The following is a 17,680-nucleotide window of genomic DNA, read 5'->3' on the forward strand; positions in this document are numbered from 1 at the left end:
TGACTTTTTTATGAGCCTCATTATATATCCTTGTGATTGGAAAAATGCATCAGTAAATAATGCCTCCATGAAGAGTCACTCTCACTTGCATTATTTTAAAAGATTTGGTAATAAAAAGTACTCAGATTATTGATAATCCATAATTAATATGAAGTAAATAATGTGTGTTTTCAAATAAAATTCACCATGATAAGTGATGAGAGTATGGGCTTTTATATTTCTTTGTAAGTCAGAGACTTATAAAAGATAGGTTATCCATCACTAAGGAATATGTAGACACATTAATTTTAGCATTCAGTTTTTTTTCTCTCTTTTCTAAAAAACATGATTCTATTCTTCAAAAGAAAGAGTGGTTTTATTATTTTTCCAGCTCTTTAAAATGGTTCAAAAATCTTGGCCTGCAGACATCTTTTTAAAAAATCAATTTTTCAATAATTTAGAGTGAATCACACCCATAGGGGGGATGTGCTTTCAAAATAATTAAAGTAGAGGAGGCAGGATTATAGATCTTGAGAAAATGTGCTTGGAAAATGTCCTTTGATTTGTTGTGAACCCCAAAGCTTTGAATAAAATAGGATAGGACTGGAATCAACTTCTGAACTTTCTCACTAGCTAGTGGCATGTTACCAGTAGTCCAGAGAATGCTGAATGCCCATCTAATCTACACTGTCATCCCTTTTATTAACAAAACTTAGGCTTTTAGGGTACATCAGGGTCTTTCATTATAGACTACATTTCCCAGCTCCCTTTGCAGCTACACATGTTCATCTAAGTTTTGGCCAATGAGGTATAAGCAGATGTGTCCTGTGGGATTCCTGAGACGTCTCCTTTAAGGAGATCAGGCAGTGGCCATCCTCTTTCCCTCCCCTGGGTCAGGTAGATTGGCTGGTCAGGTAGGTTAGCAGTGACTTTGGATAAGGGGGACAGACGCCATACTCCAGGGATGGCAGAACAGTGAGCTTTTGTGGAACTTCCATACCAGCCTTGGATTCACTACCTCTGGACTTTGTTTGTATGAGTAGGAAATTTGTTTATTTGTTTTTGCTGTTGTTTTTGCTTTATTAGAAAATCACTGTTTTGTAGATTTGTAGCTACACTTAATCATAACTAATAAAAATGGTGACTCATAAGGTTTGGGAAAACAACAGTTAAATTAAGGTAGTAAGTTTAGCTATCATTATTGAGCACCTACTATTTACTAGGAACTGTTCTAAGATCTTTATTTGTAATAGCTCACATAACTCATTCAACAGTCTTTCTAAGAGACTTACCCCCATTTTACAGATGGTCAGTCACAGAGAGGTTAAATAACTTGCCCAAGATCATACAGCCAAGCCAGGAGTTAAAATCTTCAGTCTATCTCTTAAACTTTCTGTAAATCACTGTGATGAAGTGACTTGACAACATTCTAAAAACAAGTAAAACTGGACCTAAACTCCAACTTTTCCCTATGTAGGATACCTGTCTCCTAGACTTGTTGCTAATTATGTTAGTTGGCCTCTGGCACATCACTTAGAGCCCCTGTGCCTCAGACTTAACACTAATAAGAGGCATGGGACAATACCTCACCATTGTTTAGTATCCATTCTGAGCCTGGCACTGTGCCAGACACACAGATGTGTGAATGACAGCGCACCCAGAGGGAGACCATGCGTTGGTCAAGGAGACAAGGCCTGAACACTTAAGAAGAGCCAAGGAACAGCAAGGGAAATGCAGAACCACAATGTCACTACATCCAGGAGGGTTCTTGGTGCTTGATATGTGGCTAGCAACCAGTGAACATCCCTGGAACCAAGTGGCAATGCATGTTAAGTGCCCTGTGAGCAGGCAGAAATAAATGTTTTGAATCAAAAGAGGAGGGGAGCTTTGGCATCTAAAGGATTCAGGGACACATGGTGAGTGCTTTGGTTCATGTTGGTTGTGCCAGTAATTGAAGGAGTCTTGTAGTTGGTAAGATTTGGGGAGGTGATGGGAAGTTAGGCTCTTCCCCCTTCTGGCTTTCTCTGCCCCAGGGCTAACAGGGCTAGTTCCTGGAACACCGTCTGTGCTCCCCTGTCTTGGGTCCTACACACAGCTACCTACCTGTCAGCTTGGGATGCTTTCCCAGCCTTTCATCCTAGCTACCTTCTTATCCTCCTGGTCTCAGAAAAAAATGACATGACCTATATGGAGTCTCTCCTAAGTAGACCACATCCCACTTACTTGCTCTACTGTGTGGTGAAATCCCATCAAAATGGAGGATATGGTTCCAAAGTCAGTGCATACTGTGAGCAGTGAATCAGCCAAGAGAATCCTTGAAAATCCCTGAGGGAGCTATCTCCACAGTGGAAACTGATAAGCTATCTCCAGTAAGTCTAACACATTAATTCCGGTATTTCTTTTTTCCCTGTTCGAGATAGCTGTCCTATTTTAAAGTCTAGGTTGTATGAAAAAAATCTAGGTTACATGTAGCCAAGCTATAGGTTATACACTCCAAGGAGTCTCATGTACATAGACCATGATGGGAGTGACACACCCCTGAGGTTTTTCAGTGTATATAGAACTGTACATAGTGGAGGTATTAGGGTCAGATGTAGCAAAAGGAGATATTCACACTAAAAGAAAATAGAAACCGAAGCCAACCCAGGGAAGAGCTGATTTACACTCCATTCTCGGGTTGAGCTCCCTGTGTAGGATGGTGAAATAAATCACTTGCATTATTTATATTGTTTAATTTCTCTCTGCATCTCCTTCATTTGCTTCCTGAAGCCTATGTACAGTTGACTGTGTGTGTCTATCTCTGCAAACTACAGATCTTCACTTCCTATTATAACACTTATCACATTTGAATTTTTCATGGATTGTAATTATGGGTTAAATGTGCCTGCCAGATTATACATTCCATGAGGGCAGGGGCCATGTCCATCTCATTACCTGCTGTGGCCCAGCACCTGCATGGTACCTGGCACACAGTCTTTCCAAGCAGTTCTGTCCTAGACATTGTTGTGGCTTTCTTCTCACCCGCCTTCAGGAAGATCCACCCAACTTCTTTCTCAGTTACTCAGCATTAAGATCTGTAGTTGCTGAGGCACTCAGTTAAGCTTAGGGTGGAGCTAAAACCTGCCTGGGCTGGTGCTTCTCTGATACAGAAACCCCTGAAACTGATGATTATCCAGAAATACTTGATCTCTTTGGGGGCCTGAGGAGCTTTGGACCACCTTAACTCATCACCTCCTTAAGCTCCCCTACCTCTAAATGCTCTTCTCACCGCTCCCACTCCCACCCCCTCCCCCTTGCCCCAAGGCTCCTCCTCAGCCCAACTAACTGAGGCTCTTTCACAATCCTAAAAGCATCATCTTTGTTTTAATTTTTTCTTTTATCTTCAAAAGCATCTAAAAGTAAAAACAACTAAAGAAAAGCCAGAAAGTGAATGAAGCAGAAAAACAATTTCAGCACTCTGATACAGTACCCCAAAACAATTTTAGTTCACTTTGCCTTTTTTTGTGCCATTTTAACGCAGTTGAAACCATGCCGTATATGCCAGTGTGTAGTCTGCAGTTTTAAGGTGACATTATTGCATATTCATATTTTCATGATATTCTTTAGAAGCATAATTTTAATAATGCCATAATATTTTATTGAATGCTGTAATGATATTTTTAAGCCTTCTATTAAGGTTGGACACTTAAATGTTTACCTTTTTTTCTCTAGTATGTAAATATTATGGTACAAATACACAAAAATACTGCAGGGAACCTTTTTATTTTCTGCATCTGACAGACTCGCAGAAATGGAATTACTAAGTAAAAAATACAAACTCTTTAAAATAGATTTTTATTTCAGGTGATACTTAATGCATATTAAGTGTAAAAAACTTAGAAAATACATAAAAGTATTTCATCCAGCATTTACCTCCAAGAGATGGCTAATTTTTTGTATATTTTCTGTCTTTTTGATGTATGTGTATATGTGTGTGTATATATATGTATTATGTATATATTATATATAAATATGTATTATGTATATATTATATATATTATATGTATCTATAATAAAATTTATACTGTATTGATATATTCATACTATATATGTATCATTACTTTACACAATTGAAATACTTTATATGCATGTTGTTAAAACTCTTCAAATATACAGCTTTTAATTTACTGTGTAACGATTTTTAAAACAACACTTTTCTTGTATCATTTAAATTTTTTCTGATTTCTTCTATTTTGTTGTATTTGTATACATACCTTGTCAGCATTTTATGTTATTCCTTAGGATGGATTCCAGTAATGGATTTACCAAGTCAAAAGGTATAAATTTTTAAGGCTCTTGGTGTATATTGTCAAGTTTCTTTCCAGGAAGATTTTGCCAAATTGCATTTCCAACAGTCCATAAGATTATAAAGCAATGGAAAATAGCATGTCCTTTCTGTTTTAATTTCTATCTTATTAACTCTTAGTGAGGTTGAGCTTTTTCCTTATATGTTATTCATGTATATCTTCTTTTGTGAATTGTCTAGATACTTAAAAGGCTAAGAATATTTGGAGGTTATTTTTAAAAAATAATTTTTTATTTTTAATTGACGTTTTATACATATTTAGGGGGTACATAGTGATGTCACAGTACATATAATGTGTAGTGATCGGGTCAGTGTAATTAGCATATCCATCATCTCAAACATTTGTCATTTCTTTGTGCTAGAAACATTCAATATCCTCCTAGGTATTTGAAAGGATATATTATTGTTAACTATAGTTATTCTACAGTGGTATAGAATACTAGAACTTATTACTCGCATCTAGCTGTAATTTTGTGTTTTTTAATAAATCTCTCCCTCTTCCCCTCTTCCCTCTACCATTCTCTGCCTCTAATATCCTCTACTTTTTACTTCTATGAGATCAACATTTTTTAGCTTCAACATGTGGGCAAGAATATGCAGTGTTTAACTTTCTGTTCTTGGCGTATTTCACTTAATATAATGTCCTCCATTTCCATCCATATTGCTACAAATGACAGGATTTTGTTGTTTTTTTATGTCTGAATAGTATTCCATTGTGTATGTATATCACATTTTCTTTGTTCATTCATCTATTATTGGATACCTAGGCTGATTCATATCTTGGCTATTGTGAACAGTGCTGCAGTAAATGGGAGTAAAGATATGTCTTTGGTATACTGATTTTGTTTCCTTTGGATAAATGCCCCAGTGGTGGGATCAGTGGATCATATATTAGTTCTGTTTGTAGTTTTTTGAGGAACCTCCATACTGTTCCCCATAATGGCTCTTCTAGTTTACATTCCCACCAATAGTGTAAGAGTCCTTTTTCTCTGCATCTTCACCAGCATGTTAATTTTTTGTCTTATTTTGATAATCACTATCCTAACTGGGATAAGATGATATCTCATTATGGTTTTGATTTGCATTTCCCTGATGATTAGTGATATTGAACATTTTTTCATATTTTTGTTGTCCATTTATATGTCTTCTTTTGAGAAATATCTGTTCAGATCATTTGCCTTTTTTAAAAAATTTATTTTTAGGAGACGGGATTTCACTGTGTTGCCTAGACTGTAGTGCAGTGGCACAGTCATAGCTCACTGCAGCCTTGAACTCCTGGGCTCAAGTGATCTTCCCACCTCAGCTTCCCAAGTAGCTGAGACTACAGATGCACACCACCATACCCACCTAATTAAAAAAAATTTTTTTGGACAGGGTCTTGCTATATTGCCCAGGCAGGTCTTAAACTCCTGGCCTCAAGCAATCCTCCAGTGTCAGCCTCCTAAGTCTCTGAGATTACAGGCGTGAGTCACCATTTGCCAATATTTAAATCAGGTTGGTTGTTTTTTTCCTGTACCAATGGTTGAATTCTCTGTGTATTCTGGATATTAATGTCTTGACCAATGAATAGTTTGCAAGTATTTTCTCCCATTCTATAGGTTGAATTTTCACTGTGTTGATTGTTTCCTTTGCTGTGCAGAAGCTTGTTAGTTTGACATAATTCCCTTTTTAAAAATTTTTTCTTTTGTTGCCTGTGCTTTTTAGATCTTATTCATAAAATATTTTCCCTGGCCAATATCCTGAAGCATTTCCCCTATGTTTTCTTCTAGTAGTTTTATAGTTGCAGGTCTTGTGTTTAGGTCTTTGATCCATTTTGAGTTGTTTTTTGCATAGAGTAAGAGTTGGGAGTCTAACTTCATTCTTCTGCACATAGATATCCAGTTTTCTGAGCACCATTTATTGACAAGACTGTCCTTTCAAAGCCCAGTGAATGCTGTTGGTGCTTTTTTCAAAAATCAGTTGGCTGTAGATAGGTGGATTAAAGTCTGTGTTCTCTGTTCTTTTCCATTGGTCTGTGTGTCTGTTTTTCTGCCAATACTGTGCTGTTACTGTTTTGGTTACTAAAGCTTTGTAATATACTTTGAAGTCTGAAAATGTGATGCCTCCAGCCTGCTTGCTTGCTTGCTTGCTTCCTTTCCTTTCCTTTCCTTTCCTTTCCTTTCCTTTCCTTTCCTTCCTTCCTTCCTTCCTTCCTTCCTTCCTTCCTTCCTTCCTTCCTTCCTTCCTTCCTTCCTTCCTTCCCTCCTTCCCTCCTTCCTTCCTTCCTTCCTTCCTTCCTTTCTCTCTTTCTCTCTTTTTTTCTTTCTTCTTTCTTTTTTGCTTAATATTGCTTTGGCATTGTGTTTTTTGTGGTTCCATACAAATTTTAAGGCTTTTTTCTATTTCTGTGAAGAATGTCATTGGTATTTTGATAGGGATTACGTTGAGTGTGTAGGTTGCTTTGGGTAGTATGGTCATTTAATAATATTAATTATTCTGATGCATGAGCATGGAATGTCTTTCCATTTATTTTTATCCTCTTTAGTTTCTCTCATTTGTGGTTTTCCTTGTAGAGATCTTTACTACCTTGGTTACATTATTGTATTTAATTATTTTTGTAGCTATTGTAAATGGGATTGCCTTCTTGCTTTGTTTTTCATCTAGTTTGTTGTTCATGTATAAAAATGCTACTGATTTTTCATGTCAATTTTGTATCCTGAAAATTTACTGAATTTGTTGATCAATTCTAAGAGTTTTTTTGGTAGAATGTTTAGGTTTCTCTATATATGTGACCATGTCATCTACAAACAGGGATAATTTGACTTCCTTCTTTCCAGTTTAGCTGTTCTTTTTTTTTTTTCTTGCCTAGTTGCTCTGGCTTATTCAAAGGTTGTTGACACATACATAGATACCTATTTTAAAAGAGTGGCATGTGAGAAAAATACAGGAAATAGAGCCCAATAAGATATGAATATTTGAATTTGCTGATCCATTCTTTCATATAGGACTATAAGATTTAACTCTTAAAACTTCAAAATTTTTCTGTATGTACTTTCCATCTTGTAAAGTTATAATAGACGCGTGTCGTTCTTATTGGAGTCAATGAATTGGGCTCTGTCATTTGTTGAGATATCATCCTTCTGGCTCTGGAGTTCTGTAAGAAAATGACAATATATTTAGGGTGATAAAGCTAATATCTCAAGTCTCAATTGTTTGAGAGCCAGTTATCAGATTACCTTTCACTTCTGTTCCTATCATTTTGTTAATAACTATTGTTCATTTATTTATGTACTTATTGTCTGGTACCCCACTATAATGCGTCCATCAAGAGAGCTTACATCTCTCTCAGTAGTCTGTTTCCTTCATTTCCTCCAAATTTCCATTAACTTTTTAATCTGTTTGCTTATTTGGGTTTCTGTCTTTCATATTAGGGGCTCTCTTCAGATGATAAGGTGATCCTTGGCTGTCTGTTTCATGCTTGAGAATGGGGTACTAAAAAGATGACTGGGAACTCTATACATGCATAAGGCTTATCAACAGTGGTTTGTACTTGTACGGTGATCTGGATGGCTTGTTTAGAAGGGGAAATCCTCTGCCAGTATTTTTGGATTTTTTTCTATTAGTTTAATTAACATCCCCAGAGCAAAACTTTCAATCTTTCAATATCTAATTGCAGAAATAAAGCCTGGCTGCTGGAGTTCAAGGGGCTAGCATAGGAAAGAGACTAGATGACTCCAGTAGATATTATGAAAACTTTCACTAAATCCTCCTTTTTCACTTTAACTTTTTTACTTTCAGCTGCCTGGTATCCACTATCTAGATGCCTTCTGTTTTTCCTTTCCAGGTAATAAACCTCGAGTCTTTTGCCAAGTTGACAAAAGGGATGGTCACACCAGTGTCAAGTCAGTACTGAGTCTGCCTTTTTATTAAACAGGCTTTCAGCCAGTTTTACTATTTTCAGTCCCTCTTTACTCTCACTTCTAGAGATATCATCTGCCACCAAATTCCTAAGCACTTTGGGGTTCTATAAGGCAAATTGAGTTACTTTTTAGCTTTTGTCACAATCAATTAAGGCTTCAGGTTGCTTCAAATTGTTAAATTGGTTACCATTTATCTTTTTACTTTTTAACTTTCATGATTTTGTTGCTGCTATTATTTTCTGTCATATTTTTGTCTTGATGGGTTTGTATATTTTAAAAAAATACCTCTTCCATGTCATACTCATTAGGATGGCTACTATTACCAAACAAAACACACACACACACACACACACACACACACACACAAAACAGAAAGTAAGTGTTGGTGAAGATGTGGAGAAATTGGAAACCTTGTGCAGTGTTGGTGGGAATGTAAAATGGTGTGGCTGCTGTAAAACATGGTGGTAGTTCCTCAAAAAGTTACAAACAATATTACCATATGATCCAGCATTTCATTTCTGGCCATATACCCAAAAGAATGGAAAGCAAGGACTCAAATACATGTTTGTTCACCCACGTTAATAAAAGCATCATTCACAATAGCTAAAATGTGGAAGCAAACCAAGTGTTCATTAGTGGCAGAACTGATAAAATGTGATATATACACATAACAGAATATGATTCAGCATTAAAAAGGGAGGGAATTATGACACATACTATAGCATGGATGAATCTTGAAGATACTATGTTAAATGAAATAAGGCAGTCACAAAAGGACCAATACTGTATGATCCTTCTTATATGGGATACATAGAGTAGTCAGATTCATAGAGATAGAAAGTAGAATGATAGTTACCAGGGATTTGGGGGAAGGGGGAAAGGAGAAGTTAGTGTTTAATGGATATAGAGTTTCAGTTTTGCAAGATGAAAAATGTTCTAGAAATGGGTGGTTGTAATGATTTCATGATGTGTGAATGTACTTAATACAACTGAATTGTATGCATAAAAACAGTTAAGATAGTAAATGTTATCTTACATATATTTTACCACAATTAAAAAATTTTTAAAAACAATGAAAAATAATTCCACTTTACATTTATTTTATTCTCTTCTTGGGGGAGATAGAGACTAATTAATGTATTCAATGTGTTGCTTAAAATTAAATCTATTATTTCTTAGTTTACAGCTAAGATGAGCCTTTTTAGGGCTAAATCACTTGCCCTGGTCACAGATCTAGTCATTGGCAGCCTAGGGTTTGATTCAGTTCTGGGAGGAAGGCAGGGTTTGTATCTGCTGTGATACATAGATCAGTTCGATTCATTCTTTCATTAGCCAGCATTAGAACACCTTTTTCATTCCAGCACTCTTGAAGGTAGCAGTAAGCAAGACAGTAAGGTTACATCACATTACCATGTGAGATGGAGAAACCAGACAGTAAGCAAGTATATACATAAACAAGACAAATGCAAATGTGGCTAATTGTTATGATGGAAATAAAGTGCTGGCTGAAATGTGGGTAGGGAAGGCTTCTCTAAGGAGGAGACTTCAGAGTTGTGACATCAATGTGGAGATGGCCTAATCAGTGTGAACATGTGGGCAGGAGTGTTCCTGGCAGAAGCAACAGCAGGAGCAGAGGCCCAGGGCTGGGAATAAGGTTGGCATGTTTGAGAAGATAGAAAAGACCAGTTTAGCAGAATGTACTGAGGAAGGGGAAGGACAAGTGATGGGGTAAGAGGTGTAAAAAATGCAGAACCTTGTGAGCCTTGGAGTAAAGCAGCCAAAGCTTTCCTAGGTATACAGAAAGCCACTAGAGGGGTTTCAAAGGGAAATGATGATTTTACTTTTTAACATTCTGTTGGCTTTCACTTTGTATCTACTGTATAGCAGATGGTAGGTTGTAGATACCAGAAATGCAATATGTAATACTGTTGCCCACAAGGAAATTATGGTCTGGTGAGGAAGAAAGAGCAGAGAGTGCCAGAAAAATATAGCAGCATATTCCACAGTGTACACTTTGGGGTACTAGAGGTGATTTTTAGGAAACAAAAATTCTTTATAGTAGAACAATTTATATTCCTTTGGGTATATACCTACTAATGGGATTGCTGGGTAAAATGGTTCTTTGAGAAAGAAGTTCTCTAAGTTCTTTGAGAAATCACCAAAGTGCTTTCCACAATGGCTGAATGAATTTACATTCACACCACTAGTGTATAGGCATTCCCTTTTCTCCACAACCTCACCAGTATCTGTTATCTTCTGACTTTTTAATGATAGCCATTCTGACTGATGTGAGATGGTATCTCATTGTGATTTTGATTTTGATTTCTCTAATGATTAACACTTTTTCATATGTTTGTTGGTTGTATGTCTTCTTTTGAAAAGTGTTCATGTTATTTCCCCATTTTTTAATGGGGTTATTTTTCGCTTGTTAATTTGCTTAAATTCCTTAAATATTCTGGGTATTAATCCTTTGTTGGATGCATAGTTTGCAAATATTTTCTCCTATTCTGTAGGTTGACTGTTTACTCTATTGATAGTTTCTTTTGCTGTGTGGAAGCTTTTTAGTTTAATTAGGCCCCATTTGTCAATTTTTGCTTTTGTTGCAATTGCTTTTGACATCTTCATCGTGAAATCTTAGCCAGAGCCTATGTCTAGAATGGTATTTCCTAGGTTTTCTTCTAGGGTTTTTATAGTTTTAGGTTTTATATCTAAGTCTTTAATCTATCTTGAATTGATTTTTATATATGGAGTATTGATTTTATATATGATTTTTATATATGGTATACAATTAGGTATATAATACCTAATTGTATTTCCTAGGTTTTCTTCTAGGGTTTTTATAGTTTTAGGTTTTACATCTAAGTCTTTAATCTATCTTGAATTGATTTTTATATGTGGTATAAGGAAGGGGTCCAGTTTCAATCTTCTGCATATGGCTAGTTATCCCAGCACCATTTATTGAATTGGGGGGAGGGGTCTTTCCTTATTGCTTGTTTGTGTCAACTTTGTTGAAGATCAGATTGTTGTAGGTGTGTGGCTTTATTTCTGTGCTCTCTATTCTTTTCCATGGATCTATGTGTCTGTTATTGTACTAGTGTCATACTGTTTTAGTTACTGTAGCCTTGGAATATAGTTTGAAGTCAGGTAATGTGGTGCCTCCAGCTTTGTTCTTTGTGCTTAGGATTGCTTTGTCTATTCGGGCTCTTTTTTGGTTCCATATGAATTTTAGAATAGTTTTTTCTAGTTCTGTGAAAAATGTCATTGGCAGTTTGATGGGAATAGCATTGAATCTGTAAATTACTTTGGGCAGTATGGCCATTTTAATAATATTGATTCCTCCTTTCCATGAGCATGGAATGTTTTTCCATTTATTTGTGTCATCTCTGATTTCTTTCAGCAGTGTTTTGTAATTCTCGTTGTAGAGATCTTTCACCTCTCTGGTTAGCTGTATTCCTAGATATTTTTATTTTTTGTGTCACTATTCAAAATAGCAAAGACATGAAATCAACCTAGATGCCCATCAACAGTGGACCGGATAAAGAAAATATGGCACATGTATACCCTGGAATACTACACAGCCATTAAAAAGAATAAGATTTTGTCCTCTGCAGCAACATGAATGGAGCTGGAGGCCATTATCCTAAGCAAACTAATGCAGGAACAGAAAACCACATACTGCATATTCTCACTGGTAAGTGGGAGCTAAACACCAAGTACATATGAACACAAAGGAGAGAACAGTAGACACTGGGGCCTACTTAAGGGTAGAGGTTGGGAAGAGGGTGAGGATCGAAAAACTACCTGTAGAGTGCTATGCTTATCAGCTGGGTGATGAAATAATCTGCACACCAAACTAATGTGACACGCAGTTTACCTGTGTAACAAGCCTGCACATGTACCCCTGAGCCTAAAATAAAAGTTAAAAAAAAATAAAATAGATGAACAAATAAATAAATAAAATGTGGTTACTAGATTGATTAAAAAAATGTCTACAATCAAATCAGGTTGGGGATTCATATGTGATATTTCCTTAGAGATTCTCAGTGCACACCAGCATATTAAAGTCCCAATTGTTACATCACAGAAACCTGTGTACTTTGTTCAACTTTACATTTCCTAAATTTATTTGCACAAATAGCTTCTTTCAAATAATACCTTTTAACATCTTTTTAAACTCCTCTGGGAAACACTGATTTAAGGCAACATGACAATTATATGTTAGGTGTTATGGCAATAATGAGGGGGGCCTAACTACCACAACTCTGGGTGTGAAACAGGTAAGCATTCAGGATTGCCTTCCTGGAGTAGGTGACCCCTGAATTGCTTCCAGAAGGAGTAGAGAGGTTAGCCTTGTGAAGAATAGAGAAGGGTATTTCATAGAGAAAGAACTGCCAAAACACAGATATGTAGACCCAAACATCCCACATCATCATCCTTGGAAAATAGATTTACAAATTTCCAGCAGGAAGAGGAAAAAAAGTGCTTGAAGTGTGCTGGTTTCTCACCTTAGTGGAAATAATTGCTTAAAAAAACAGCCAGAGGCTGGACACGGTGGCTCATGCCTATAATCCCAGCACTTTGCGAGGCCGAGGCAGCAGATCAGCTGAGGTCAGGAGTTTGAGACCAGCCTGGCCAACATGGCAAAACCCCATCTCTACTAAAAAATACAAAAATTAGCCAGGCGTGGTGGCAGGCACCTGTAATCCTAGCTACTCAGGAGGCTGAGGCAGGAGAATAGTTTGAAGCCAGGAGGCAGAGGTTGCAGTAAGCCGAGATCATGCCACTACACTCCAGCCTGGGCGACAGAGCCAGACTCCGTCTCAAACAAACAAAGAAACAAAAAAAACCAGAGTAGAATGCAATTCTCCTCATCTGGATTTCAGCAAGAATTGCCCATTTCTGTTCAGCCGTAGGCCTCCATCCTCTGTTGCCAGTCTGTTCTTCTGACTCTCACCTGTCTCCTTTCTGCACACAGAAGGCCAGAGAGAATGAACAATTCTTCCCCATGTCAGTTGGCTCACCCTTCCTGGAAGTGTGGATTTCCTGTTAGTACCTGCAACTCTGTCGGCGCTGCTATTTCTGTCTTCGCGTTGTTTCAGAATACTCTCACACTGCTGCCCCATTTTTCCGTACGCAGTCTTCCAGGCCCTTTTTTGCACCTGATTTTTGCCAGGCAGCATAATTAGAGGATGTTACATTTCCCTGAAAGAGCATATTCTCATGGACAACAGGACACAAGGGAGTAAGAAAGCTTCAAAGATGCTGGAGGGTCTCCCTCCTGTACCCCAACCTGTGCCACTTGGTATAACAGGATTCTACATGAGTTAGCTTTTCTTTATTGTTATTAGGAGATTAATAAAAATTGACCTCATTTATTTAGTGCTTACTATGTACCAGACACTGTACCAAGAATTTATTATCATTCAACTTTCACAACCCTAAAATATGTGTATTTTACAAATGAGGAGAAGTAGGCTGGCGAGTAGCTTGCCCAAAGTCATTCAACTCAGAAGAGAGGCCATCGTTTAATCTTAGATTGTACTTGTAAAATTCACACATCCAATACATAATGCCTTTAAATGTTCTCATTGTTAACATTTATTTTCTTTGGATTCTGTGCCTATTTCTGCTTATGTCTCCGGATTACCTGGGAGCTTTTAAAAATAAGAATCCTAGGGTTCCACTTTATAACATTGACCAGAAGTCAAGAATGGGGCCCAGGAATTGCTATTTTCAGAAGCTCCCTAGGTGACTCTAATGCAGGGCTCTTCATACCTTGGTGTGCGTCAAAATCACCTGGTGAGGGAGGATGGCTGGGCTCCACACCACAGTTTCTGCTTCAGTAGGTCTAGGGTGGGGACTGAGAATGCACACTTCTAACAAGTTCCCAAATGCTGTTCATGCTGCCATCCTAGCACTTGAGCATTTTTCCCAATATGTGTATGATCCCCCTCCCCCACCAACTGGGTGACGTAGATAGAACTTTAAGTGTCATTAAGTTATGTCATGTTTTGAATCTTTCTCTGCTCGATTTCCACGTCAACATGAGTGAGGGCTTCAGGGATTTTACTCCATCATTTTGGCTAAATGCCAACTTGGCAAATTCCACTCCTCCCCCGGAGGGACTGCAAATGCCAGTGTCCTCCTTCATTCAGGAGTGAGGTCATTGTCTGTGTGGTTAAAAGTGGACACTTTCTGCTGCTTCTGCTTTTGCACTGTAGTAGAAGTTTCAAGGAGCTCTATTTTACAGTTCCAAATTACCATCCCTCCCCTCTTTAATGCTTCCAAGATGGATAGTCTCTCACCATAGGTTAATGTTTAGATTTTGATCTCTATTTCTCAGCCCCCCAAATCTGGATGATCCTCTGGTGCCAGAGCTGTTGCATGTATCACCCCTGGACACTTTCTTCTCTGCTTGAACCAGAGAATAATTATATATAGTAGTTCCCCCTTGTCCATGGAAAATACCTTCCAAGACCCCCAGTGGATGCCTAAAAACATGGGTAGTACTGAACCCTATGTATACTATGTTTGTTTTTTTTTTTTTTTTGATCTGGTAACTGAGAGGATTACTAAGCGGACGACAGGGAGGTAGTGCCTACAGCATGGATTTGCTGGACAAAGGGATGATTCACATCCCAGGTGGGACCAAGCTAGATAACGTGAGAATTCATCACACTATTCAGAATGGTGTGCAATTTAAAACTTATGAATTGTTTATTTCTGGAATTTTCCATTTAATATTTTTGTACTAGAGTTGACCATGAGAAATTGAAACCATGGAAAGCGAAACTGCAGATAAGGGGAGACTGCTGTGCTAGAGTGCTATAGAGGATTTCATTTGGAAAAAAAAAGTTTTGGTCCTGGAAAAAAAGTTTAAGAACATAGTCGTATTCCATTTCTTCATATGTTTGAGATATTTCTGGCTTTGGTGAAACATAGGCTAGGAAAAGAACCTAACATCTTATTAGTGTAACTGAACAACAGTAACAGCAGACTTAGCCTTTCTTCCTTATGTGCAACATTACCTGTGACCTGACTCTTGAAACATAGCTGCTATTAAAGTACAAGTGAGTCATGCATAGCAGCTTCTCCTTGCCCAGTTAATTTCTCTGTAAAATCTTTACTCTCTTTTATTCATGTATATATATGTATGTGTGTGTGTGTAAATATATACATATATATGTTTGTATTTCCCTTTAAGGATTTCAAACACAAAGACCCTAGTCATTTGATTGTCTCTGTACTGTCGAATTTTGCCTACAACCCTGACTGTAGAGACACATTGTTACCTGTTTTCCATATTCTGTCTAGTAAATGCTTGGTTGTCAGGACAACGGCATAGAAGGTGGAAGCTCATTGATAACCACGTGAATTCTTTAAACAAATATGATCAGAGCAAATTCCAGGGTATGCTTGAAAGTAGATTTAAGGAAGAGCAAAGGTTTCAGACATATCCTTCCTTTTATAAACTTGATATTCATCTTTAAGGATCAGCAACAGTTGGAGTTACTCATAATTTTATTTAAAATCCTGAATAAAGATATCACCTTAGTTTTATGGTACGTTTGTCATTCCAGCTTGTTAGGCATGAGTGTGTTGTTACTGACAGAGCCCCTGGAGGACAGGCAGACACTGTGGTTCTCCATGGTCTCTCAGTACCAGGCACAGAGCAAGCACCCAATACATATTATAGGAATAAATGATCTCAAATCTTCACAGTGCCTCTTATAGATGGCTTTTATGATATATATCTGCAGAGAAACTGAATTCAGGGATTTTAAGTGCCTTTTTTGCAAGGCCCTTAAAGTTTGGGAAAGTAGGTGCATGGAATTAGAACTCAGATTATCCTGACTTCTAAGATCACACTCTTCATTGTAGCACACTGCCTTCTTGCCAAAAAAAAAAAAAAAAAAAAAAAGGAAGAAACATGTAAAAAGACAGACCATTTCTAAGATGAAATGTGTGCTTTTCAAAACAATAGCAGAAAACCTTCTTCAAAGGTAAAATAGTTGGAAATAGAAGAAGAAATAATATGTAATTTAGCGTTCGTTGAGGATAAGCAATTAATCCTGCCCTCCAGGGGTGAATTTATGTCTAGCCTATTTGCACATGAAAGTACAAGTTGGGCTTCATTTCTATGCAAGTAAGACATCTGGTTGGGAAGTGAAAAATTTTGTCAGTTACCTGAATCATGTTTGGTCTACATGATAGAAAAGCCCCTGATGTCTTCAGATCACCAGAAGACATTTGGCATTGTATAGTTAACACCAGATCCACTGACTGAGTGGTTCACCTGAGAGTTGCTGCTTGACATCCTGTAGATTCACCCATTGTTAGGAGGCTGTTACCATTTTGTAAGTCAGCAGTTTGCAAACAGTAGTCCAGACGAGAAACCAACGCTGGCCCTTGACAAAGTGTTCACTGGTGTGTGATGCAATAAATACATGAGGTCATAAAAGGAAGTGTATTTACCTTAAAAAAGAACATCCTTTATTTTGAGATCCTCTGCTTCCTATGTTTTTAGTGATACAATTTTGTGTCAAATAAATCCTCATTGTAAGATTTGGTTTTAATTAGTAAATGAGACAGGATAAAAAATTGAGAAACCTATATAAATCCCTAGTTTTCTTTATGTGATCTTTGTATTTGATTGTGAAAAAAAAAAGCAAAATTGTAGAAACCACTGCTTTAAACCTTGTAATATTTTTAGCACAATGACACCTAAAGTATTTTCATGTATTTCCCAAGTTTTCCTTTTCCTAGAAGTGGGGTAACTCTCCATGGTAGAACTGTTTGCATGGGTCTTGAAAGCATTGGACATCTTAACAGTCAAGTATTTTGCTGACAAAATAATGAATTTTCCTTTTGAAACAAGCGTTTTGTTCTTAAAATAACTCTAAAGAGAACACCTTCTGCACTTTTAAAGCATTTCCCTCTGAAGGCATGCCGTGGAGACATGACCATAGGGAGAAACTTTTTGTGCTAGAAAACTGAATTCCACCACTGTGAATTTTTTAACAGCTTTCACAGGTTCTGCAGTTTGCTCTCATGACCCCAAAAGCATATATCTCCACATGCTGTAACATCAAGGATCTCTCCTCAAGCTTTGTAAGCTCGGCCAGAATGAGCTGAGTACCCTCTGTGTGTCAGGCGATGTCCAATACACTGGGAATAGGGAGTCATAATAACCATAATTTTATCTGACTTTTGTCTAGCATTTGTCATGTGGCAGACAACATGCTAAAACACTTATTTGCATTATCTTGCTTGATTCTTATAACCACTCTGGGAGAAAAATAACATTATTATAGCCTTTTTACAGGTGAGGAAACCGTTGCAGGGAAGTTAAATCACTTGCCCAAGGTCACAAGCCCTGTGAGTGATAAAGCCACCACCATCCAAGCCTGTCCACCCCCTAACCTGAACTCCCAAGTGCTATGCTAAACCACCTGCC

The 17,680-nt window shown here is 37.4% G+C and overlaps 1 protein-coding gene and 1 long non-coding RNA gene across 59 annotated transcripts in view; one reads left to right on the top strand and one right to left on the bottom strand.

Moving 5' to 3' along the window:
- The window catches only part of FGGY (FGGY carbohydrate kinase domain containing), a 466,353-nt gene that overhangs the window by 188,165 nt on the left and 260,508 nt on the right, over positions 1-17,680 (top strand). The gene's annotated exons all lie outside the window — the stretch shown is intronic.
- On the bottom strand, positions 7,321-16,490 carry LOC124904192 (uncharacterized). Its single transcript, XR_007066139.1, has 3 exons — positions 16,411-16,490; positions 13,277-13,382; positions 7,321-7,457 (listed from the first exon to the last, which is right to left on the bottom strand). It is a non-coding gene; the product is annotated as an uncharacterized LOC124904192 (long non-coding RNA).

Source organism: Homo sapiens, chromosome 1 (assembly GCF_000001405.40).
Source record: "Homo sapiens chromosome 1, GRCh38.p14 Primary Assembly".
NCBI classification, from domain to species: domain Eukaryota; kingdom Metazoa; phylum Chordata; class Mammalia; order Primates; family Hominidae; genus Homo; species Homo sapiens.